Genomic DNA, 27,077 nt, shown 5'->3' with positions numbered 1-27,077 from the left:
GAATACAGTCGTTAAAAATGGAGGAGGTGTGGATTGCTAAGTGAAAGAAGCCTATCTGAAAAGGGTACCTATTGTATGATTCCAAGCATATGACATTCTGGAAAAGGCAAACCTATGGAGGCAGTAAAAATCAGCGGTTGTCAGGTGTTTGGGACAGGGAAGAAGGGATGAATAGGTGTAGCCTATTCTTAGGGCAGTGAAACTATTCCGTATGATGCTATCATGTTGGGTGCATGACATTAAACCTTTGACAAGGGCCATAGAATGTACAAGTGAGCCCTAAAGTAAACTATGACCTTTAGTTAATGATAATAAGACATCAATAGTGGCTCATCAATCATAACAAATGTACCACACTAACTCAAGATATTAGTAACAGGAGAAGCTGGGGGGAGGAAATATATGGGAATTCTGTACTTTCTACTCAATGTTTCTGTAAGCCTAAAATTGTTCCAAAATATAAAGTCTATCAACTTAAAAAAAGATAAATGAGAAGTGGGGGAACCACAGTCCCTACCTACCATTATGAAGACTTATAGAGGGTGAGGTAGATTCAAAACAAGGAAACAAAGATATAACAAGAGATATGTAATTAAGGAAACAAACAAACAAGGCAAATGACTGTGCCTGCATTGGTGGAGGGTGGTCAGGGAAGGCCTCTATGAGAGGTGACATTGAAGCAGAGACCTAAAGGAACCACCACACGAAACGGGGGAAGGGTGTTGCACATAGAGGTAACAGCATGTCCGAAGACCTTGAGAAGGAAGGGAAATCTGCGAGTACAAAGAGGTTACATAGCTGACAATGGTGGAGCTGAGATTTCACTCACTTTTTGGTCCCAGCACCTCTCCTTTATAAGGCCGCTGTCTTGAATGTCAAACCTCACTCTTTCAAATTCTCCCTGGATCCCCTTTCCTATGGCGTGGCTGGATAGGTAAACATTACTTAAAATGGGAATAAATTCTTCCATCACCAATGGTAAAGTGTTCTGCCCACACTTCAATCAACAGAGAAAATTCCAGAGCTTTGCCTTCCAACTATCTTTAAATTCAGTGCGGCGGGGAGGTCAGCGGGGGAGGTTATTTTGTCATTTGGAAAAAAGGGCATCTATTCATTTTCCAAAAACACCCAACACATACTGCTCAACTCTTCTCGGGCACATCTCTTTGCATTATGAGAAAAGCTCCTGTGGTCTTTATAAATATTTATGATACATGACTGAACATGTTATATATACTGTGCTGTGCTAATATTAGTCATGGCTGAGAGTCTTTCTGTGCATGGAGCATGGTGATCATGAATAAACAGAATGGCTTCCTAGCCATTAGGGGAGTGAAGACATTCACTGCCATTGTTCTGTGGGTCTGCTTAAAGACTTTGCACATACCCAAATCAAAATACGGGTACTCCCTTTTCCTGAAGAAAAGAAAAAAAAGAAAATCCAGACTGTTTCAGTCCATATGAAAAAGCATTTCAAAACTGAAAACATGGCATGTGAAGAAGAAAGAGGTAAATGTGTTCTTTTCAATGGAAAAAACAGCTGCTTGGGTCAGATAGAAACCAGATGGGAGAGAAAGAATCAGAAGAGTAAAGCTGAAATGCATTCAGGAAAAAGACATCAGAGGCGAAATGTGCTCCCAAGTCAGAGGAGTGGTGACTCCCAGACTTTTCTTCCTGTGGTGCTGGACCACGGGGCTCAGAGGAATGAATGGTCCTTCTCCAGGAACATGGAAGAAAAGCTGAGGTGGACGCACCAAGTCATCCAAGGAATTGGAACTGGTCCCCAAAACAGTTCTGTCTGTCAACCCCCCGCATGGCCAGGTATCTCCATTAGAGACATTCAGAACTTGGCATGTTCTCTCAGGGAGCCGGAGAAGTAGAAGGATGTGTCTGTGTTCTCACCCAGCCCCAGTGCTGGCAGAAATAAACCAGGCAGGCAGACTTCAGCCTTTTTTAAGCTTGTGTTTATAGGAGCTCTCCTTCGTCATGGTCCACCTGTCTTTTCACACGATTCTCCAGGGCGTATGGACTGGTGAACTCGGAGGCTTTGCTCCAATCCCAGCTGCAGCGGCCACCTTGCCCGGCAGACACGCGATAGAAGGTTCTGGTGAATGGTTCCCTCCGTGCTGTGTTGTGGCTTTCTCACACTAGTGGAGCGTATTATTTGAGCTGCCACATGCTGACCACAGGCTTCCGCTTGCAGCACATGCAGACCTCAAAGGAGACTTGCTCACGTGTGGGCTTCCCGCCGAGACTTGCTGTGGTCCTGAGGCCGCGGCCTGGGCGCTGGCACAGCATCTGCCCACACAAAGCTGGAGACGAGCCTGCCTCTCTCTCCATCGAGTAAGCGTCCCAGGCTCAGACTCAGAGAGTCCAATCATCCACTTCATGTGACCAGTGTAGTTATCTAGCAGATTATCTGCTTAGCATGATCCTAGCAGCTAACGATATATTAACACACCATGCTAGGAAGAACAGCATTAAGAGGGCGGCTGGCCCCTGACCATGCCGTGAAAGGACAGAGCTGTGTCCAGACTGCTCAGGTATGTCCACCCACCCTCAATACCCCACCACCCTGAAGTCAGCCCTGATCGTAATGCAGTGTTTCTCAAAGTGCATTATGTATTCCAATCACCCGAGGGGCTTGTTCACAAGCAGATTCAGATTCAATCGTTTTGGGGATGAGGCCTCAGATACTACATTCCTGTCTACACCCCCAGGTAATGCCAATGCTGCCGGTCTACAGATTGCGCTTTGAACAGCGAGGCCTTAGTAAATAAAAAAAAGGAAGGATCATGTAAAGCTAGTTTGTCCAACCCTGCAGTCCATGGCTTTGAATGCAGCACAACACAAATTTATAAACTTTCTTAAAACATTATGAGCTTTTTTGTGATTTTTGTTTTTTTTTAGCTCATCAGCTATCGTTAGTGTTATTGTATTTTATGTGTGGCCCAAGACAATTCTTCTTCCAATGTGGCCCACGGAAGCCAAAAGATTGGGACACCCGTGTTATGAAGAATAGCACAGACTGATTTCACAAAGCTCTATAATCTTAAGCCAATCACTAAACATCTCTGAGCCTCAGTTTTCACATTCATAACATGGTGATTATAATAATATCTATCTCACAAGGTGCCTGCAAATATCAAGTAGATTTATATGAAAAGCTTATTATAAATGGGATCTTTACAGTTAAAAGTAAGACAACTTCAACTTGAACTTGTTTAAACAGAAAAAATAAAAGGTACTTATTGGCTCCCATAAATTGAAAAGTCTTAGAGTGCATCTGGCTTCAGGCATAGCTGGATCCAGTTACTCAAATTATTTCTTCCAGATGCTTGCTTGCTCTTGCATTTTCTCTCTCAATCTCTTGATCTCCCTCTCACTCTCTCATCTGTTTCTTGCTCCTGCCCTCCTCCTCACTCTACCTTCCTCATTCTTTCTTGTTTGGGCTCTGCTTTTTTCTGTGTTGCCTTCACACGCAGGCAGTCTCTGTCAAATAGGTCAAATAGTCTTTACAGAGGAAGTGAGACTTCCATACGTCCCGTTTTGGAGGGACTCTGATTGGATCCACTTGGATCCAGAACCCACTGCTTGCTTGAGTCAATATCAATAAACATGGGTGTGGAGAACTATGAACGGCTAGGCTTAGTGGCCTCTCCTCTACACACAAGGCTGGAGTGGAAGGACTTTTGTCCCCCTGACTGACTCTCATCTCCCTTCCTGTCAAAACCTGTTCACCCTGGATCTCATTCCCTTTTTTCGGCTGTTACTTTAGAAAGGAATAGTACACGAACTGGCCTCTAATCATGTGATGTGGAAATATCTTCTATTAGAAGCCAGAGATCTGCATTGTAATCCAAGTTTTGCCACTAACTGGCTTTGAGACTTTAGTCTCATTTGGTTAACCTCCTTGTGGCTTAGTTTCCCCATCCATAATATGAGGGTTGCCATCAATTATCCCACAGGCCTCTTTCAGCTCAAAGGTCTGAGTTGCTATGATTTGTTCCTTATTACATGACACTACTCAGGGGCACTCACATTTTCACAGAGACTTTCTGGGATGGCAATAATTTGATGCAATGAATGAGCCACCAACAGCCAAAATGTAATAAGGATATTTGCATAAAGGAAACCAGGAATCTCTTTCTTTTTTTTTTTTTTTTTTGACAGGGAGTCCCGCTCTGTCACCAAGGCTGGAATGCATTGGTGCGATCTCGGCTCACTGCAAGCTCCACCTCCCGGGTTCATGCCATTCTCCTACCTCAGCCTCCCAAGTAGCTGGGACTACAGGCGCCCGCCACCACACCCGGCTAATTTTTTGTATTTTTAGTAGAGACAGGGTTTCACCGTGTTAGCCAGGATGGTCTCAATCTCCTAACCTCGTGATCCACCTGCCTCGGCCTCCCAAAGTACTGGGATTACAGGCATGAGCCACTGCACCTGGCCGAAACTAGGAATGTCTTTCTAAGCCTCCTGAACATCATTCCATGTGGACATTCACCTAATCATGGTATGTTGAATTTGCTGTTCAAGTCTTTCAAAACTGTGGCTTTGTTGCCTGTGTTAACACAAGGGCAGAAAACAAGGCTGGGTGGCCACATTCTAGCCCACTTTCCTCCGACCAGTGGCTTTCTACTTTCTCTCCTACCAATGACTCTGGTGCTCTTTTATGATGACTTGGCCAGACCTTCCATGGCCCCCAGTCAGGTTTGTTTCAAGCCTACTTATCCATCACACAGCTCCAGCTTCCAAAGTGTTCCTAACCTGCAAGTCTCCATCAACACTTCCCTTTCCTATTTCCCATCTCTTCAAAGTCCTATACCCTAAGTAGCAGATACTACATTCAATAAACTGTAGATTACTAATAGGTACATACCCTCCAAAGCAATATAGGTGTGTGAATAAAAATTCATGCTAAACTTCTTGATAACCAAGGCAAAAGTACAACATACCTGATTAAATCAATTTCTTTTTTTTTTTTTTTTTTTTTTGAGACAGGGTCTCACTCTGTTGCCCAGGTTGGAATGCAGTGGTGCAATCACAGCTCACTGAAGCCTCAAACTCCCAGGCTCAGATGATCCTCACACCTCAGCCTCCAGAGTAGCTGGGACGACAGTCATCCATCACCATGCCCAGCTAATTTTTGTATTTTGTATTTTTTTTTTTTTTTTTTGTAGAGACGGGGTTTCACCATGTTGCCCAGCCTGGTTTTGAACTCTTGAGCTCAAGCAATCTGTCTGTCTTGTCCTCCCAAAGCGCTGTCATTACAGGTGTGAGCCACCACACCCAGCCAAATCACTTTCAAGCAGTGGTTACAAGGGAAAACACTCTATCCTACTTATAAATTAGCAGAGGAATTCATATGAGGGACTAAAACAGTGTAAAGAACAACCACTTAAAAGGCTACTTTGTTACATCAATGCTGGGGTGTTCTTCACAGGGACATTTGGTTAGGCCCTTGTGAGAAGATGACCCCTCAGGGTAGAGAGTTGCCTACTTTTCCGATATGTGACCCTGTCCATACAGCACAAAATAAAGCCAAGAGTTATCAGGTACCACAGACAGCCAAAGTTGTTCATTTAAGTCACTTGCCTGATTTCAACAGTGGACATTTGCATTGTCACAAAGTCCTATCATTTTTACATCCCAAATTGTCTCAGATCTATATACCACTGTTCTTCACCACTGCCCCCAGCCTTGAGTTGGACCACCATACCTCTGGATCTAATTCATCTCTCTACCTCCAACCGTCCAGCCCATTCTGTCTACATAGCCATTAGACATAACCCTTCCAAGGCATGAAGTTCATGGTGTGATATGGTTTGGCTGTATCCCTACCCAAGTCTCATCTTGAATTCCCACATATCGTGGGAGGGACCTGGTGGGAGGCAATTGAATCATCGGGGCAAGTCTTTCCTGTGCTGTTCTCATGAAAGTGAATAAGTCTCATGAGATCTGATGGTTCTATAAAGAGTAGTTCCCCGGCACAAGTTCTCTCTCTTTGCCTGCTGCCATCCATGTAAGATGTGACTGGCTCCTCCTTGCCTTCCTCCATAATTGTGAGGCCTCCCCAGCCATGTGGAAATGTAAGTCCATTAAACATCTTTCTTTTATAAATTGCCCAGTCTTGGGTATGTCTTTATCAGCAGCATGAGAACAGACTAATACATGGTGCTACTTCAGGGCCTTCCCATCACCACCAGGTTGCAAAGGTCTTAGCCTGGCTTCCTGGACCCTTCATGATCTGGCCTCCTGTCTATCTGCCAGACTCATCTCTCTTCCCCTTTTGGCCTGCTCCTTCACTTCTCTCCCATCTGAAACATTTTTAGCCCTTCCAGATGCCCCACAATCTTTGCCTAGCTATTCTTTCTCATTCTTCAGATCACAGTGTAGGCAAAACATCTTTCACAAGTTCTTCCTCAGCCTCTCCAGCCTGTCCTTTCTCTGTGTCCCCATCGTATCACTTCTCAAACCATATTAGAATTGCCTATGAGCTCACCAACCTGCTCTGTTGGACTCAACTCTGTGGTAGCAGAGCTCTGCCCCCAGAGCCATCTTTGCTGCTGCCCTGGCCAGCCACATGATCCTGAACAATCACTCCATTCCCCTGTGCCTCAGTTTCCTCATCAGTAAATAGAACTCATAAAGGTGCCTACTTCATAAAAATGTTGTGGGCACTAAGGGAGAAAATTCACTAAGAGCTCTTTCACTGTGCTAAGCACATAGCAAATGTGAACAACAATTATTATTATTGTCATGAATAGTATTATTGTATTAGGATAGGAATTTTTTCTGTCTTATTCACTGTTTTATCCCCACACCCAGCTCAAAGTCTGACACAGAATAAATGATCACTAAACATTTGTGGGATGAATGAATGAATGTCGAATTATCTGGTTTTGTCCTGTACGTAGTTCTGTTGGGTCTTCACTTGATTAAGGTCTGTGAAGACGAAAAGAACCGATTGTGCTAGCACCTCCCCAGTTTGTTTGCTCTGGTGTTTTTTCCATTTACTCTGTGAGGAGAAGGATTTCATTTTATGAAGAAGGGAGGAGGGGGAGCCTGGTTCCAAAGGCCTGTTTGTTCTCATTATTAATTTTCCTCTCCTCTTCCAAGTAGAGTTTGAATGATTTTGAATGTGCACTCATCTGGAAAGGCACCCTCATTCTCTCGTTTCATGCCTGGCTGCAATTAAAGTCAAAAGCAAAATTTAAAAATACAACTTTATTATGAAGTGAAAGAGTTGTTGATCCAGATTACAGAACCTGTAATCTCATAACATTACCATAAAAAAAAAAAAAAAAGAAAAGAAAGAAAGAAAAGAAAAAAGAATACCAAGCTGCCAACTTGTGGGTTTGGTCTTGCCAATGGAGACTCGAAACTCCAGAATCAATAACTAGGTTAACTTTGCTGGTTTCTAATGCAATTATAAGCATTGGAAAATTGCCCAGATGCTCAAAAAGGAACTAAGGGTCTACTTTAGAACATCCCCACCCCCTTTTCTAAAGAAATACTTGGGCGATAAAGGCAAAATAACTGAATGGGGTGGGGCTCAGCAGTTTCCAATGTCAGATCAGAGAGCTGTGGAATTTCAGAGCTGGAAAGAAGCTTAGAGGTCATCTCAAGGCCGTTTTACAGATGCAAAAACTGAGCCCCAGAGAAGGAAGGAACTTTTCCAGGTTCACACAGTGGCCATGAATCTTGGGGAATCTCCGTCTTGATTTGTTCATTTGTGCAAGAAATATTTAACTGATATCCTATTTGGGGCCAGGCAGTGTACTAGGTGTGAGAAATTCATTAGTAAATCAAACAGATGTGTTCTCTGCCCTTGTAAAAATAAACATTCTACTGGGGAATCAGACAGTTGATGAGTAAACCAGTGAACAAGTATATAATCAATGGCCAGAAGGAAACAAATTGTTGTGATAGAGAGCTGCTTATATGTAGTGGTCAGGAAGGCAACTCTGAGAAGGTGATATTCTCAGCTTCAGCTGAATCCTGGGAAAAGAGAGCTAGCTCAAAGGCCAAGAGACAGGGAAGAGCTTGGCAAATTCAAGAAACTATAGGGAGAAGAACGCGGCTGGAGCATAGCAGGTGATGTGGCATCCACATCCTTAAAGTGGAATATGATAGCACTTGCTGGCTCCTTTGTCCACACAGGGAGGCCACCGGCCTCTGGCAGGATAAGGAAAAGCTGAAACCTAGCCTTCCACCCACTCTTTTCTGAGAGCTGGGAAACCTGTATCCACTGCTGCACGCGGACCTGTTCAACTTCCTTGGGAAAGTACTTTTCCTTCACAAGCGAGGAAAGAGCTTGACCAGACTTAGTAGTCAGCTTCCAAATCAGGAAAAAAACCATGCCAAGGAGAGGGTGGCTCCAGTGAGGAAGGTCTGGGGAGGAAGTTCCGGTGTGGCAAAGTGGTTAAGAGCAGAGACCGTGGAGTCACACACCCTGGGGGAGAGGCCAGGTTTGACCATCATGGAGCTAGGCAAGCTACCTAACTTCTCTGAGCTGCAGTTTTCTCCTCTGTAGAATGGGTACCTCGGAGAGGAGTTGGAGGGAATAGAGGAGATCATGCTTATAAAGTGTGCAACGCTCTCACTTGGAGCTACATGCCGGCACTGGCTTCCTTGGGTATGCAGGCCAACTGCCTGCGTGAGCATTCTAGCTCTCTCGACCCAGCAATGGTCCTGGTTCCACAGCCTCACTCCATCATCCTACCTCCCACAGTGACCCACTACATACCCACATGAACCAAAAGCTTACACTTTGAGGACCAAGGACCATTTGGCTTAAGACCCCATAGAATGCCTGCCCACACCACCCTCCAAATCCAACAGCAGAAGACAGACGACCTCACCAGAATTAATAAGATAAATTGCACTGTTTTTGTTTAAACACCGATGAGGTGATGTCTGGTTTTTATTAAGTATCATAAGTAAATTATTAATTCCTACCAGAAACAAAAGTATAAACATGACCATATGATAAACATGGATACTTGAACAGTCTGTGGATCGCACGAAGGGCACCAACTGGCCAGTGAGTCTGGGACCCATAGGCTTAACTGGCTTGAGGCCTCAGCTGCACTGAAATCCCAGCAAGCTGGCATTCTGGAAGTCAGGCAAATAGGGTGTTCCGCTGCTCTACTCCACACAACCACCACCCCACACCCACAAAAAGTCCTTGACTCCATTGCTCAACACTGAATAACAACAATGATGATAATTATAACAACAGTAATAATTACAGAGCACTTCTGTGCTAGGCCCACTTTGCCCACCACACCAGCCACGAGCCACATGTAGCAAGTGAACACTTGAAATGTGGATCATCAAAATCAAGACAAGTTACAAGTGTAAAATATACACTGGATTCCACAGATACACTATGAAAAAGATACATGCAATATCTTAATAATTTTTTTATGGATTGCGTGTCAAAATAATATTTTGAATATGTTGGGTTAGGTAATATATATTATTATTATTATATTTTTTTGAGACAGAGTCTCACTCTGTTGCCCAGGATGGAATGCAGTGGTACAATCTTGGCTCACTACAAGCTCCACCTCCCGAGTTCATGCCATTCTCCTGCCTCAGCCTCCCGAGTAGCTGAGACTATAGGCGCCCGCCACCACGCCCGGCTAATTTTTTTGTAATTTTAGTAGAGACGGGGTTTCACCGTGTTAGCCAGGATGGTCTCAATCTCCTGACCTTGTGATCTGCCCGCCTCGGCCTCCCAAGGTGCTGGGATTACAGGCGTGAGCCACCGCACCGGGCCTATATTATTAAAATTAATTTCATCCGTTTACTCTTTTCTTTTTTAATATGACTACCAGAAATGCTTACTTATGTGGTTCTCATCATTTTGCCCGTGAACAGTGACTAAGTGCAAAGCATGGCACATGCATTATTGGTTTCTTTTTTCTTTTTCTTTTTCTTTTCCTGAGCAGAGTCTTTCTCTGTCTCCTAGCCTGGAGTACAGTGGTGCAATCTCGGCTCACTGCAACCTCCGCCTCCCAGGCGCAAGCAATTTTCCTTCTTCAGCCTCCCAAGTAGCTGGAATTACAGGCACGTGCCACCACGCCTGGCTAATTTTTATATTTTTGTAGAGACGGGGTTTCACTATATTGGCCAGGTTGATCTCAAACTCGTGGCCTCAAGTGATCCTTTTGCCTTGGCCTCCCAAAAGTCTGGGATTACAGGCGTGAGCCACTGGGTCCGGCCAACATGCATTATTTTCTTCTACCCTCACAGTAAACCCTTTAGATAGGGACAATTATTACCCCATTTTACAGATGATAATACTGACATTTAGTAGTTCCCACTTTAATCCCTTAAGGCCTAGGGATTGTTAGAGTGTCCTTCCCTGATTTTTTCCCTCTGAATTCTATTTCATTCTCAAGGCTTAGAACTCTGTATCCTGCCTCTCCATGGAAGCCTCAGTTCTCTTACCTCCCCTATTTCAATATCTCTTTTTCTCTCTCTCAAATGTTTGACCGTAATACTTGTCACCTGTACCTAACAATAACATACTTAAATGACATCTCCCATGTCTTACATTCTTGCTATTTCACACTGGTTGGCTTTTTTGGTGTAAAATAGTATGTTCTCATGCAGGGGTTTTCAAACTATGGGTTATAACCCAGTCATTAGTGGGATGTGAAACCAATTTGGTGAGCCATAGCTAAAAACTTTTTTTAGCTGAAATAGAAGAGCATAGAAGAAAATAGAATAGGAAAAAAAATGTATATTGTTTCCTAACACTTTTATATGTGTGTCCTGGGCCATGAGATAATTTACATTTCCAGCTAATGCATGCCAGGCTTAATACCCAGGTGATGGGTTGATTGGTGCAGCAAACCACCATGGCACACGTTTGCCTATGTAACAAACCTGCACATCCTGCACATGTACCCCAGAACTAAAAATTAAAATTAAAATAAGAATAATTTGCATTTCCAACTCTGAGGCTTAGTCCAAAAAAGTTTGAGAAACGCTGTGCTAGTGGTTTAGAGCATGGGCCCTGGGAGCTGGTGCCTGAATTTGAATCCAGGTTATTGCTGGCTAGCTGTGGGACCTTCTCCAAGCCTCAGTTTCCTCATCTGGGGGGCTTGTGAAACCAGCTTGCAGGGCCCCACTCTCAGAGTTTCTGATTCAGCAGGTCTTGAAGGAAGTCTGAGAATGTGCGTTTCTAACAAGTTCCTGGGAGATGCTGATGCTTCTGGTCAGGAAACCACACTTGAAAAACCACTGGTGGCATGCTTAAGAATATGGGCTCCATTCGATGAACCTAGGCTAAATTCCACATGGTGCTGGCATACATACCTGCTCTACAAACTCAGACTTCAAATCTGATTACACGTTTTAAACTAGTCTGTGCTTTAATGGCAGGATGTTCTGTATCATTCCTTTAAGACCTCTCCCCACACACAAAACTGACCAAGAACCCTCCTAGAGTCTTACTGAGTCCATAAGGATTTTACCACACCTCTTCCCCAGGCCAGAGAAACTGCGCTCATCAGTTACTACTGCTATTGCTTCCCACTAACACCGGGGGCGCTGCTGAAGACTGGCTCCGCACCACTGCTTGTGGATGGAGCGTTGGTTACTGAGTTGTCCTCACTGATCCGGGCACCAGCTGAAGCTCATTGAAGTCTCATTATGGCCTTTAGCGTTACAGCTTTTTTTCCCCGTTTACACTCTCATACTCAGCCATTTCTTACCAAAGCACATCCACTGTGCTTTGGTAAGCACATTTCTCATCCACTGTGCTTTGGTAAGCACGTACTCAGCCATTTCTTACCAAAGCACATCTGAACCTGGAAGTTCAGACCATCATACGCACACTGCGCCCAAACCAGCCCACCCTTGTGAATTCTCAGCCCTTTGAGTTGAACCTAATCGTTAGTAAGGCTGTCCTCAGGGTAATTTTATCTTAGGTACTTCGTCACCCTGTCTCGCCATTCTGAAAGACTCAGAATGTTGGGGGAAAGAGATTTGAGGCAATTTCCACAAACAGAGGTACCAGCTCTCCCCAGGTACCAGCTCTACATAACAAAGGGTGAGGGAGCTTTTGGTAAACCACTCAAAAGAACAAAAAGGTGTTCTTCATTCTTTTTATTATGACAATTGGAGCATGTTTATGCTTCATTTTGCAAGTAAGAGGGGCTTTTCAAGGACCTTTTCCTGACCTGGCTGTTCTACTCCAGAGACTTTTAGCCACTACTTGGATTTAACTCTCGCTTTGTCAAGCACTAAACCCATCCTCAGTTTAGGCTTATAATGTTCAATCAGCACGTAAGTACTCATGAATGGGTCATCAAAACAATTTAGTAGATTGCGACCATACTATTTTTTAATGAATTAAAATAGAAAGTAAAATTATTTTGCACGTATTAGACAATCAATTCATGAAACTTTTGTTTCACTTATGTACAAAAATGTACCTATACTAGATCAAGATTTAAAATGAATTTCTCACTGTGGGGCAAAGTCAAAAAGTTTGTCTACTGCTCTCTGCAAAAGGTCTTTTTGCTCTTTTGTTTGGCTTTCTCTTCATCCTTTAGGCTCAACTCCAGGAAGCCTTTTTTGGCCCCCCTCTTCCAGACTTCAAGCTTCCAGAAAATCCTGTGTGTCTCTAAGAACACTTGCCAGGTTGTTTTGCAATAATCTGTGTAAGTACTCTGAGACCCTCCCCTTCACTCATTCACCCCCTATGGACCTTGAGCTCCTTAGGGACAAAGACTGGGTCTTAATCTCCATTGTATCCTCAGCACGGGGTGCACAAAACACTTGGTACGGTAAATATTTGCTGAATGTACCAACCTGTCCTTATGAATTGTTGCCTCTGGCAGCTTTCAGATGCCACCTTATATATAAACTTTTCTCTAACCTTGTATTTGGTCACTTAGTGCACATTTTTATAGGTCATCTGTTTTCGCCTAGTCGAATTTAAACCCCGGGAGGACACAGAGATCACCTCTTATCATTCTTTGTATCTTGAGTCTTCCGAGAAAATTTTTCCCAGGTAATTGATGGGTGGTGATGCTGAGCAACAGATTAGTCCTATCTCAGCTTGTTCCAGAAAGTATTTAAGGGTGCTTGACAGGATACATTAAATGAAGCAACATAAGTTAAAAGGCAATGAAAACGTCTAAGAATTGTCACCAAAAGATCAATCTATGCATGAAGATTTTGATACGAGTGTTTATTACATTTTTTTGGTTGTTTTATAAAAGGAAACATTTAGAAACAGCCTAACATTCAACAATCTTATATTGATTGAATATATTATGGAACATCTACAAGACAGAAGACACCTAATCACATAGAAAGATGTGCATGGTGTAGTAAGTGGGGTGAAGGGAAGGACAGTTATAAAACACTATATATGATATAATCTCATTTTGTATTAGGTTGGTGCAAAGGTAATTGTGGTTTTTGCCACTAAAAGTAATGGCAATAATAGGCAAGGCACAGTGGCTCACGCCTGTAATCCCAGCATTTTGGGAGGCCGAGGCAGGTGGATCACTTGAGGTCAGGGGTTCAGACCAGCCCTGCCAACTTGGTGAAACCCCGTCTCTACTAAAAATACAAAAATTAGCCAGGCATGGTGGTGCACAACTGTAATTCCAGCTACTTAGGAGGCTGAGGCAGGAGAATCACTTGAATCTGGGGGGCAGAGTTTTCAGTGGGCCAAGATGACACTAGTGCACTCCAGTCTGGGTGACAGAGCAAGACTCTGTCTCATAAGAAAAAAAAAAAGTATGGCGATAACCGCAATTACCTTTGCACCAACCTAAAATATATGTATAGACTGTGGGTTAGGTGGGGGTAGGGAGAAAATATACCAAAATATAAATGGTGTTCTCTCTGGGTATGACTAGGTGATTTTTACTCATTTTGTGTTTGCTTTTCTGTGTTCTATACATTTTTAAAGATTTCGTTTGCACAAAGTATCATTCTTTAGTAAAGGCAGGGTAGGGACGTTTATTTTTTTTAAGTAGGTAGGCCAAAAGAAAGAAAAATACAAGTAGAAAGCTAAGAATGAGGCTTATTCCAAAAGTGAACACCATACAAACCTAAATAAGCAAGTCACAAATTTGACTCTGAGCTTTCCAGCAATTAACACAGAAAGGGAATCAGGACAGGCTATCTAACTCACACTGTCCAGGAACAACATGGCTTTTCCTGATACAGAGGAGCAGGAGGACATTCTGCAATGTAAGGAATAACATCCTCAACCAGATCCTGTCATCGAGGTGAGTTTCCTGGAGTTGGTTTGGAATAGAGCAGGCTCTAAATTAGATTACCATGTTCCCCATTATTATTATTATTATTATTATTATTATTTGGTAGAGGCAGTGTCTCACTATATTGCCTGGGCTGGTCTTGAACTCCTGGCCTCAAGAAATCTTCCTGCCTTGGCCTCCCAAAGTGCTGAGGTTACAGGCAGAAGCCACCATACTACCTGGCCTCCCTGCCTTTCTTCTAAGGATAGCTTTAGGCAAAGTATTTAATTCCTCACTAAGTACCTCTATTTAATAGTGGTGAATTAATTACTTCATATCTAAATAACTAGCGATTATTAATAGCTGCAATGAGTAATTATAGTGATTAAGCCATCCTAGCCTAGGCTGGCTTCTCAGAATCAGTTCCCTCTCCCAAATTGCCAGGAGCACCATTCTTGAGGAGGGGTCTCCTAAGCCTTGCACTGCAGTGGGGCCGAGAGGCAACTCAGTGACTCACCTACATTTTCACTTCTGGCTCATCCAGGCGTGCAAAGGCAAGAAGCCAGAAAGACTTGATTATTTAAACTATCTCCTATCTAAAGCCCAATGTGCCCAGTAAAACCAAATTAGTAAATTTTTTTTCATGCACAGGGGCTCCTGGAACGGACACATAGAGAAAAGAAGGCAAAAGGCTGCAGAAAGGGATTTGGTCTCCAATAAAATTCCCCTCTCTGGATTCCCAGGCCTTCTCTAATGGAAGCATTTGGAGTCTGAGTTCTTATGACACCTGCCCCTAGGTATGCCTGACACTGCACTAGGTGCTGGGCTACAAAAGTGAATGTAGGCAGGTGAGAGAAGTTCCCAATGGGGGGGCTACTGGATAAGCAGATCATTTCAGTATCATAGTTAGAGAGGGCACAAGAAACTAGGGGAACACAAAGAGATCCTCAAGGGTCAGGGAAGGCCTCCTGGAGAAGATGATATCTAATCTGGGTCTTGAAGGAACATATGGTTCAGTAGAACTGAGAAAAAGGTACAGGTCATTTAAAGGAACCACAGACATACTCTATTCTGGGAACTACAATCATCTCCTTATTACCAGAGCATAAAGTTCCAAATGGGATGGAGATGAAGCAAAAGAGGCAAGTTGAGGCCAAATCATGGAGGGCCATGGATGTAGCACTAAAGAAGCAGTCTTTGATCCTTTAGGCCTGGCCCAGACCAGGCAGATGCTGTGAATTAATGCACTATCCCAGGGACAAGAGAAGACCATGGGGACTGTGGCAAACTGGAGTGCACTTGAGTCAGTACTCGTATTGCCAGATCTTTCCATTGTTTAAGAGAGGTCAGAATCCAGATCCCTATGTACAACTCTCCCTCAAGGGAAACATTGGTGATTAATTCAAATTTAAAACACAGAGAATAACCAGCAAGGGGAAGGCCCCAATACTGTGTCCGTGAGCCTGATTTAACCTGAGGGCCAGATTTGGCCTATAGGTTACCATGTTGCCACTTCTGCCTTAGAAAGTAAGAACTTAAACGTAAACGTCAAAACTATAAAAACCCTAGAAGAAAATCTAGGCAATAACATTCAGAACATAGGCACAGGCAAAGATTTCAAGACAAAAATGCCAAAAGCAATAGCGACAAAAGCAAATATTGATAAATGGAATCTAATTAAACTAAAGAGCTTCTGCTCAGCAAAAGAAACTATCATCAGAGTGAATAGGCAGCCTACAGAATGGGAGAAAATATTTGCAATCTATCCATCTGACAAAGGTCTAGTATCCAGAGTTTACAAAGAACTTAAACAAATTTACAAGAAGAAAAAAAAAGAGTGGGCAAAGGACACGAATGGACACTGCTCAGAAGAAGGCATTCACGCAGCCAACAAACATGAAAAAAAGCTGAGCATCACTGATCATTAGAGAAATGCAAATCAAAACCACAATGAGATACCATCTCACAGTCAGAATGGCAATTATTAAAAAGTCAGGAAACAACAGATGCTGGCGAGGTTGCAGAGAAAAAGGAAGGCTTTTATACTGTTGGTGGAAGTGTACATTAGTTCAACCATGTGGAAGACATTGTGGCAATTCCTCAAATACCAAGAGACAGAAATACCATGTGACCGAGCAATCCCATTATTGGGCATATACCCAAAGGAATATGTATCATTCTAATATAAAGATACATGCATGCGTATGTTCGTTACAGCACTATTCACAATAGCAAAGAGATGAAATTAACCCAAATGTTCATCAATAACATAATGGACTAAGAAAATGTGGTAAATATACACCATAGAATACTATGCAGCCATTTAAAGGAATGAGATCATGTCCTTTGCAGGGACATGGATGGAGCTGGAAGCCATTATTTTCAGCAAACTAACACAGGAACAGAAAACCAAACACCACATGTTCTCACTTGTAAGTGGGATCTGAATGATGAGAACACATGGAGACAGGGAGGGAAGCAACACACTGGGGCCTGTCGGGGGTTGGGGGAAGGGAGAGCATCAGGAAGAATAGACACTGGAGAGACACAGGGGACTGGAGAGACATGTGGAGAAACACAGGGGACAAGTATGTGAGAGTAAGGACTTGTCTCATTCATCTTGCATCCTCAGCCATCACCTATGACGGAATCATATGGAATCAATGAGCATTTTAATGAATTGATTAGTTTATTAATGATTTGGTGGCTAAAGACCAAGCTTCAAGTCCTGGCTTGGCTACTCATTAACTGGGTAACACAGGTCAAGAAACTTGATGTTTTAGAGCCTTATTTTCCCACTCTGTAAATTGGGGATAATAATGCCCACTGTGTCTACCCTATTGGCTCAAAATCCAAATGCAGAAATGCCCATAAGGAAGAGCTTTATAAACTCACAAGTGCCCTATAGGATGGACTGGGGTGATTACAATTACTTTGCCAAACCTGGGTATCTTTAAGAGTAGCATTTTTTTTTTTCGAGAAGGAGTCTCGCTCTGTTGCCCAGGCTGGAGTGCAGTGGCGCAGTCTCGGCTCACTGCAAGCTCCACTTCCCGGGTTCAATCCATTCTCCTGCCTCAGCCTCCCGAGTAGCTAGGACTACAGGCGCCCTCCACCACTCCTGGCTAATTTTTTGTATTTTTAGTAGAGACGGGGTTTCACTGTGTTCGTCAGGATGGCCTCGGTCTCCTGACCTCGTGATCTGCCTGCCTCAGCCTCCCAAAGTGCTGGGATTACAGGTGTGAGTCACCGCACCTGGCCAAAGGTAGTATTCTTAAGTATACAGAAAACAAGAGAGAAAATGTTCAGAATTGGATACCTTTAAGATGGCCTTCCAAGCTTTGACAGGTTCCTACCTCACTGCAAGAAGTGTGGCACTCAATGCCAAGGCTTCAGTCCCATGCCAATGAACAAATGTAAGGCAAAGGAATCCTCCCACAAACCGCTCCATCAGCTATGTATGTGCTGTGAACTGTACATTCCAATTACACAGAAGCACTTTGAGTCAGACTTCCATATGCAGAGTGCTCTGTAGAGCCTTTGCACGTACCATTCCCTCTGCCCAGAGCACTCCTGCTTAGCTTTTAGGTCTCAGCTTCAGCTCCTTAGCATTCTTATAAAAACAGTTTTGGAACTCATGAATCACATGAAAGATCTCAGAGACCCCAGAGATTCCAGACCTCTGCTGACTAAGCTATTACTTAGCAACCATTTCTTATGTTTCTCTCTTCTCTCTCACTGCAACTAAAAGTTCACTCTCTTTTTTTTTTTTTTTTTTTTTTTTTTGAGATGAAGTCTCACTCTGTCGCCCAGGCTGGAGTGCAGAGGCGCGATCTCAGCTCGGTGCAACCTCTGCTTCCCGGGTTCAAGTGATTCTTCTGCCTCAGCCTCCTGAGTAGCTGGGATTACAGGCGCACGCCAGCACGCCCGGCTAATTTTTGTATTTTTAGCAGAGACGGGGTTTCACCAAGTTGGTCAGGCTGGTCTCGAACTCTTGACCTCGTGATCCGCCTGCCTCGGCCTCCCAAAGTGCTGAGATTACAGGCGTGAGCCACTGCGCCCTGCCAAAAGTTCACTCTTTAAGTAATAACAACTACATAGAATTGAGCTAAACCCTTCCATAACTCCAAAAGTACTGTAGGCAGCAGACTTCTAACCACTTCAAAAGAATTTACTGTTGACTGGGTGCAATGTCTCACACCTGTAATCACAGCACTTTTGGGAGCCTGAGATGGGAGCTTCACTCAATGTCAGGAGTTCATTACCAGCCTGGGCAACATAGTGAGACCCCCATCTCTACCAAAAATTTTAAAAATTAGCCAGGCATGATGGCGTGCATCTATAGTTCCAGCTATTCAGGAGGCTGAGGCAGGAGTATCACTTAAGCCCAGGAGTTTGAGGCTGCAGTGGGCTATGATCACATTACTGCATCCCAGTCTAGGCGACAGAGCCAGACCCCATCTCAGAAAAAAACAAAAACAAAAACAAAAACAAAAACAAAGAAAAAGAAATAATTTACTACTAACTTTAGTCAAGCAACTAATTAGCAGTGTTTTTTCCTAATCTTTCCCTTTTTTTTCTTTCCCTTCCCATAATATTTTTTTTAAATCCCTGGCAACATGTCATTTACCCTTTAACACTTCTGTATAAACCTCTAAAGTATAAGGACATTTTCCTATAAAACTGCAGTACCATTCTCTATTACCTCTATTAACAATAGAGGTAATTATTTTAATTATTTAATACCAGCTAGCCAGTTATATTCAAATGTCCCCAACTGTCCCAAAGGTGTCTTTGTACAACTTAATTGTGCACATATTGCACTTGATGATTATTTCTCTTTCATCTCATGAAAGTTCCCCCTTCCCTTTCTTTTTTTCATGCTATTAACTTGTTGCCACACACACACACACACACACACACCCCCACACACACACGCATACACACACAAAGTCAGCTGTCTTACCTCCTGAATTTATCTGATTGTTTGCAAAGCATGAAACTGTTTGACTAGTTAACTCTCCCTCCTGGTTGGCTCCGGAGGCTTGATTAGGCTTCACTGTTTTTGACAATAATATGTCATACTTGGGTTGTATGTTTCACATATTGCATCTCGTCAGGAGTTATCTAAGGTCTGGTCGTACCAAGAAAAGACTTGTGCTTTTTCATTGTTACAAGCATTATCTCATTTAATCCTCACAGCAACTCAAAGAGATACGTGTGGAGTCCTAATTAGGGACAGGGAGTTGGACTGCCAGAAACGAGGGAAAGCAAAAAGAGAAAGCAGATAAACTATAAGTCTATCTTTCTTCATGGTCCAAGACACATAGCCCCTCCTGCACAAATGACTCACAATCTTCCTGAGCCCAGCTATCACCAGACCCTTGGCTGAAAGAAAAATGCAAGTTAGCTCACTGCAACCTTGGCATTATCAGTACTGCACAGAGCCCTCTTCAGCACATAGCACAACATCCTATAAAAGCCCTAGCAAGCCTTTGTCTCTTTGCAGTCGGCTCTTCTTTTGCTGACCTGCCCATTGCTTCCTTGCAACATATTTTCATACTTTCTCTAATCTGCCTTTCTTTAACTGCGACTGTCTTGGTAAATAAATTATTCTTATCGCCCATGCAATGCTGGCCCCATGACAGTATGTTCTAAAATTTATCCCATTTTATACTTGAGGAAACTGAGGTACAAAGCAGTTACCTGCTTGGCCCAAGTTTACACATCTAGTACGTAGCTCTGTGACTGGGGAGCGTTAGATGTGCCTGAGAAATGGGCAGGGTGGGGATTTCTATTTGCCACTCTCTAAGGACCCCATATCTTAGGCAGTTGATCCATCTTTTTATCTTCCACAGCCTCAAAGCCATTCACTTACTAAAAAACTTTACCTACTCCCAGCTTGAGGGTCTTATAGGAAGGCCTGGTAGAGAGAATACTTCCTTTCACATACGTGTAGTGAACAGAGAACCAATTTTTTGCACCAACAAACAAGATATATGTGTGTGTGTGTATATATGTACATATGTGTGTGTATGTACATATGTATGTGTATATATACATGTTTGTAACCCCCAAAATCAATACTGTAGCACTTCTGTGATTATTCAGACCTGCGGAAAGAGGGGGGAAATTTGAGTCACCTAATGTGCATGTTCCCAGGTCGAATACTTGTTTCACCCCTCAGCCTATAAACAGGGGTCCTTTTCGAGGTCTATCTAGCACCAGGTTTTTCACATTTGTGTGCTTTTAGTTGGTGATTTTGCTGTTTAAAACAGCCCCCAACCATAGTTCTCTTGTGTTCCTAAGCGTAAGAAGGCTGTGATGTGCCTTACAGAGAAAATACGTGTGTTAGATAAATTTTGTGCAGATGTGAGTTATGGTGTTTGTGAGTTCAATGTTAAAAATGAATCAGCACTGTGTATTAAATAAGGTGTCTTTAAACAAAAACATACATAAAACAAGGTTATGTGTTGATCAGTGAATAATCATGTTGTGACCACAGGTTTGCAGGAACTTAACCCTAAGTTTCCCCTAGGGTCAATGATTTGCTATTTACTAATTCAGTATTTGTTACAACTTTAAAGAACATAGCTACCATGAATAATATAATTGACTACAAGTATGTGTGGGTATATGTGTACATAAAATAGATATATATTTTTTTCTTAGTGGTAATCTTTTTCTTAATTGCTATCTGACAACAGAGAACCTGTATATATGTGTGTGTGTGTATGTATATATACACTCACCTTAGGGTTGTTCTATTTTTAGTTCCCTCAAATCTGATTAAGCTAATTTTCTAATTAAATATTTTGAATCAGACCTTTACAAAATTGCGATGAGGGGGAAAAAATGCACTGAGCACATGATGAGGGGTGGGAGTTTAAAAATACATATATCAGATTTTGTTTTTTCTGCTCCAATCAATTTAGGATAAACTTTTCCACTGAAGCACATCCTGGTACTGCCGACCTGTCTGAGGTAAGTGGACTGTGGGGAGTAGGATCCAATCTGCTCCCAATTTAATATTACTCAGAGCTGAAGTATTTATAATTTTGTTTTGCTGAATCATTATAAGGTATCTGAGTAAAAGAAAATCAATTCCTGAAGTATTTATGCCTCTGTGGTTTTGGGGGGAAATTCAACTAACAATTTTCATTTATTATAATTGGGCGTTCAGCCTTCATTGGTGTCTGTAGCCCTAATGTAAGTAATTTCATATTTACTCAGGGCCTTCCTTTTAATAATGAAAGCTGGGTTCCCATCAGGGAATTCTCAATATTCTTTCAATCTCACTGCTAAAGGATAGAGTAAAAAAGTTCTTTTAGAAAGCAATAACAAAATGTCCCCCTTCCCTAAGATATACAGTGCTAGCTTTATAGTGTTTTCATAAGGGAGAGCCTTTACAACATAGCACTCATTCCAATGTTTCCATATTTAGAGCAATTTTTCATTTTGTTTTGGCTATTTAAATTTTTTCTTATTAAACATGTTTACAAAAATGTAGAAAATGACTTTGATGAAAACCATGATCTGAAACACAGCTCTTTGAAAGCCAGAAAAATCACACCTTGTAACCCTTTAAATCCAAGTATTGTTTTCTAGCTGAAAGTTCTGAATCCCACCTTGTATACCTCCTGACTGATTGAAATTTTGAAAATAAATATCATAAGACTGAAATGACCTTGGGCAGCCAACCTAATGGTGTTTACCAATGGTTTTCAAACAACCAATTTGAAAAGTTTTACAACCATAATCTTAATTTCTGAAGTTAAATGTCCAAGGCATGTAATGGAGGAATACATTTAGGAATTTTCCTTTTGCAGTCCTTATTTACCAAGTATCCACGGACAAATACAAGTTTGTCTTTAAAAAAAAAAAAAGGGAGGTGGAGAAAAAAAAATGCCCCAAAAAAGGCATCTTGGTGTAGATTTTCTAAATAAAAAGAAGATTGGCTACCCTGACTCCCTGTTGTTTTCCTGTGGCCACCAAAGCTGAAAAATTCGTTATCTTGAGACACCTATTTCTAAGACCTAATGCTTCCCAGCGTACCACAGGAATGATTTCTTGGACATGAGAAGACAGAACACCTCCTTTTCAATTCTCCCCTTGGATTTCCAATAAAAGCATTTGTTTGAACAACAAAGCAACATGGAGGCCAGGCCCAGTGGCTCACACCGGGAACCCCAACACTTTGGGAGGCCAAGGTGGGAGGATCGCTTGAGCCCAGGAGTTCAAGACCAGCCTGGGCCACATATACAAGACTCTATTGGCAACATAGACAATTGTCAACATAGCCAAGACCCTATTTCTCTATTTTAAAGAGACAAAAAACAAAAACACAAAGCAATGTGGGCATGATTGTAAAACCACAGCCATTACCCCTCCTCCCTTAAACAGGACTCTTCAGGCATCAGTGTGCCCAGCCCCAGAGGATAAACTGATTCGTCTAAGTCAGTTATGACTTTCCCATTTCTTTTTGCCAGTCATTGGTCTAAGACAATAGTTCTCAACCTCAGGCAATTTTACAGACACACACACACACATTTGACAGTGTCTGGAAACATTTTTGGTTGTCCTAACTGGGACTGTATTCCCCGCATCTAATGAGTGGAGGCCAGGGATGCTGCTAAGCCTCACACAACAAATAATCACCTGGGCCAAAACGTCAATAAGGCTGAGGTGGAGAAACCTCAGCTTAGGGGTTGACATGTAACATAGTTCTGGGCAATGAAATGTGACAGAAAAGAGGTAGGGGGAACTTCCAGAAAGTATTTTTCCTCCTTAAAAAGAGGAAATGTTTTTGCCTTCCCTCCCTCTTTTCTTCTTGGATACCAGAGAATGAAGATGTGATGCTTGGAACTACTGCAGCCACCTTGGGACACGAGGGAAGTCAACACCAACATGCTGAGGATCTTTGAGCTGCTGCACCAACCTAAAACCACCTCTCTCCAGACTTCTTGTTGCATTAGAAAGTTAATTGTCTTTACTTTTAAAATGCTTGTTAGTTGGCATTTTTGTTACCTATTGTCAAAAGCATCATAATTATTACATCTAACTAAATTATATGCCATCTACTGTGGCATATAATTTTCTTGCAAAAGGTCCACATTAGGTTGACCAGAAAACAGAAAAACTTTTCTGAGATTCAGATGTTGTTCAATGGGCTGGGCTCAGTCACTAGCTAAGTGACTTTCTTCTTGCACAAAGCCCTTTCATAACAAGTGAATTCAATCCCTGCTTCTGAAGAATGACAAATTACTATATATGGGTCTTCAGAGTGACTCATGAAGACTGAAAGTTGTGAAGCCATCCTGTCCTAGTTTAAATCCAAGCTATGACACCTCACAGTTATGTGATCCTGGGTGAATTTACTGCTCTGCTTCAGTTTCTTTATCTATAAAATGGAGATAATAATGGTGATATGGTTTGGCTGTGTCTCCATTCAAATCTCAACTAATTTTTTTTTTTTTTTTTTTTTGAGATTGAGTTTCACTTTTGTCACCCAGGCTGGAGTGCAATAGCAAGGTCTCAGCTCACTGCAACCTTCACCTCCCGGGTTCAAGCAATTCTCCTCCCTCAGCCTCCCAAGTTGCTGTCATTACAGGCACCCGACACCACACGGGGCTGAATTTTTTTTTTTTTTTTTTTTTTTTTAAGTAGAGACAGGGTTTCATCCTGTTGGTCAGGCTGGTCTTGAAGTCCTGACCTCAGGTGATTTGCCTACCTTGGTCTCCCGAAGTGCTGGGATTACAGGCATGAGCCACCACACCGGCCTTCAACTTGAATGTGTCTCCCAGAATTCCCACATGTGGGAGAGACCCAGAGGGACGTAATTGAATCATGAGGGCCAGTCTTTCCCTTGCTATTCTCATGATAGTGAATAAGTCTCACTATCTGATGGGATCTGATGGGTTTATCAGGGGTTGCCGCTTTTGCTTCCTCCTCATTTTCTCTTGCTGCTGTCATGTAAGAAGTGCCTTTGGCCTTCCCCTATAATTCTGAGGCTTCCCCAGCCATGTGGAACTGTAAATCCAATTAAACCTCTTTTTCTTCCCAGTCTCAGGTATGTCTTTATCAGCAGCATGAAAACGAACTAATACAGCAAATTGGTACCAGTAGAGTGGGGTGTTGCTGAAAAGATACCCAAAAATGTGGAAGCGACTTTGGAACTGTGTAACGGGCAGAGGTTGGAACAGTTTGGAGGGCTCAGAAGAAGACAGGAAAATGTGGGAAAGTTTGGAACCTCCAAGATACTTGTTGATGGCTTTGACAAAAATGTTGATAGTGATATGAACAATAAAGTCCAGGCTGAGGTGGTCTCAGATGGAGATGAGAAACTTGTTGGGAACAGGAGCAAAGGTGACTCTTGTTATGTTTTAGCAAAGAAACTGGCGGGATTTTGCTCCTGCCCCAGAGATTTGTGGAACTTTGAACTTGAGAGAGATGATTTCGGTTATCTGGTGGAAGAAATTTCTAAGCAACAAAGCATTCGAAATGTGACTTGGGTGCTGTTAAAAGCACTACATTTAAAAAGGGAAGCTAAGCATAGAAGTTCAGAAAATTTGCAGCCTGACGATGTAGTGGAAAAGAAAACCCATTTTCTGGGGAGAAATTCAAGCCAGCTGCAGAAATTTGCATGAGTAGCAAGAAGCCTAATGTTAATCCACAAGACCACAAGACCAAATGTCTCCAGGCCATGTCAGAGACCTTCATGGCAGCCCCTCCCATCACAGGCCTGGAGGCCCAGGAGGAAAAAGTGGTTTCGTAGGCTGGGCCCAGGGTCCCCGTGCTGTGTGCAGCCTGTGCAGCCTAGGGCACTAGCCCTAGGCTCAGGCTGTGGCTTCAGAGAGTACAAGCCCCAGGCCTTGTTAGCTTCCACGAGATGTTGAGCCTGCAGGTGCACAGAAGTCAAGAACTGAGGTTTGGGAACCTCCACCTAGATTTCAGAAGATGTATGGAAATGCCTGGATGCCCAGGCAAAAGTTTGCTGCAGGGGCAGGGCCCTCATGGAGAACCTCTGCTAGGGCAGTGCAGAAGGCAAATGTAGGGTGGGAGCCCCCACACAGAGTCCCTACTAGGCCACTGCCTAGTGGAGCTGTGAGAGGAGGGCCTCTGTCCTCCAGACCCCAGAATGGTAGATCCACCGACAGCCTGCACTGTGAGCCTGGAAAAGCCACAGACACTCAATGCCAGCCCGTGAAAGCAGCCAGGAGGAAGGCTGTACCCTGCAAAGCCACAGGGGCAGAGCTGCCCACAATTATGGGAACCCTCCTCTAGTATCAGTGTGACCTGGGTGTGAGACCTGGAGTCAAAGAAGATCACTTTGGAGCTTTAAAATTTGACTGCCCCATTGGATTTCGGACTTGCATGGGCCCTGTAATTCCTTTGTTTTGGCCAAATTCTCTCATTTGAAATGGCTGTATTTCCCAGTACCTGTACTCCCATTGTATCTAGGAAGTAACTAGCTTGCTTTTGACTTTACAGGCTCATAGGCAGGAGGGACTTGCCTCATCTCAGATGAGACTTTGTACTGTGGACTTTTGGGTTAATGCTGAAATGAGTTAAGACTTTGGGGGACTGTTAGGAAGGCATGATTGGTTTTGAAATGTGAGGACATGAGATTTGGAGGGGCCGGGGCAGAATGATATGGCTTGGCTGTGTCCCCATTCAAATCTTAACTTGAATTGTATCTCCCAGAATTCCCACGTGTTGTGGGAGGGACCCAGAGGGAGGTAATTGAATCATGGGGGCCAGTCTTTCCCGTGCTGTTCTTGTGATAGTGAATAAGTCTCACGAGATCTGATGGGTTTGTCAGAGGTTTCTGTTTTTGCTTCCTCCTCATTTTCTCTTGCTGTCGACTTGTAAGAAGTGCCTTTCACCTTCTGCCATGATTCTGAGGCCTCCCCAGCCTAAGAATGTGGAACTGTAAGTCCAGTTAAACTTCTTTTTCTTCCCAGTCTCAGTTATGTCTTTATCAACAGCATGACAAGGGACTAACACAAATGGTGTCGTCACAGGTCAATGAGTTGTCACATGAAAAATGCTTAACACAGCGTCTCACACATATTAAGCACTATGTTCATATTATAATTGTCATTGTTATTACTAAGTATTACATCTGAGAATGCCAAGTGTCTGCTGAACAATTTTTTAAAAATCTTTTTGTAGAAATAGGGTCTTGCCATGTTGACCAGGCTGGTCTTGAACTCATGACCTCAAGTGATTCTCCTGCCTTGGCTTCCTAAAGTGCTAGGATTACAGGCATGAGCCACCATGCCTGGCCAAACAATTTTAATATCTAAATCTTACCCGAACACCTGACCATCCTTCAGAGGTGATAGCAATAGCTGAGTGGGCATTTTATGTGAGCTAGTGATAGGGGAATGAACTAGCAATACTCCCTTTATCCATTCTTACCAAATTCCACCATTGTTTAGGGACATAACCAGGTGGCTTGAACTCATTTTTCCCAGAACAACAGTGGCATGATGCCAGCAGGCCCACTGTAGGTGTGTCACTGGTAGAGGAGCTAATTTTGTAAGAAACATGCCTCCAGTCTTCCGGTATTCATGATTTCTTCACATGGTTATGTGTGGATCCAGATGGTCGGTCTAGCATCCTGTATGCCTCTGCTTCACATTAGTTCTTAACTTTGTCAAACCAATACCAGGAAAGATACCATGAAGCTCTCAGTGTCCACATATTCACTGGGTAGAGAAGTCTTCCTCAGAGACTGCCGTCTTCCTCTTTGTCTTTAAAACCTCATCTGTTGTCTGAACATCTGTATGCAGCTTTGACATGAGGCATTTGGGGATTTGAGTTGATTTCTGAAGC

At 42.9% G+C, this 27,077-nt stretch overlaps 1 long non-coding RNA gene across 1 annotated transcript in view, besides 2 other annotated features; it reads right to left on the bottom strand.

Moving 5' to 3' along the window:
* LOC105377141 (uncharacterized) overlaps positions 1-17,863 on the bottom strand; it is a 40,002-nt gene extending 22,139 nt beyond the window's left edge. The window contains exon 1 of the long non-coding RNA XR_940934.2: positions 17,788-17,863. This is a non-coding gene — a long non-coding RNA (uncharacterized LOC105377141). The remainder of the gene's footprint in view (positions 1-17,787) is intronic.
* Positions 11,243-12,156: an enhancer, noted in NCBI's record as "OCT4-NANOG-H3K27ac hESC enhancer chr3:66623376-66624289 (GRCh37/hg19 assembly coordinates)". NCBI's record gives its function as "activates a minimal SCP1, AML or CMV promoter by ChIP-STARR-seq in naive and primed H9 embryonic stem cells {active_cell/tissue: H9 hESC(naive and primed)}" and the evidence as "EXISTENCE:reporter gene assay evidence [ECO:0000049][PMID:30033119]".
* Positions 12,157-13,071: an enhancer, noted in NCBI's record as "OCT4-NANOG-H3K27ac hESC enhancer chr3:66622461-66623375 (GRCh37/hg19 assembly coordinates)". NCBI's record gives its function as "activates a minimal SCP1, AML or CMV promoter by ChIP-STARR-seq in naive and primed H9 embryonic stem cells {active_cell/tissue: H9 hESC(naive and primed)}" and the evidence as "EXISTENCE:reporter gene assay evidence [ECO:0000049][PMID:30033119]".
* Positions 17,864-27,077: the final 9,214 nt, after the last annotated feature.

This window comes from Homo sapiens, chromosome 3 (genome assembly GCF_000001405.40).
Source record: "Homo sapiens chromosome 3, GRCh38.p14 Primary Assembly".
Taxonomy (NCBI): domain Eukaryota; kingdom Metazoa; phylum Chordata; class Mammalia; order Primates; family Hominidae; genus Homo; species Homo sapiens.
Note: the sequence above shows the minus strand (reverse complement) of the source record. Positions and strands in the feature narration are given on the sequence as shown.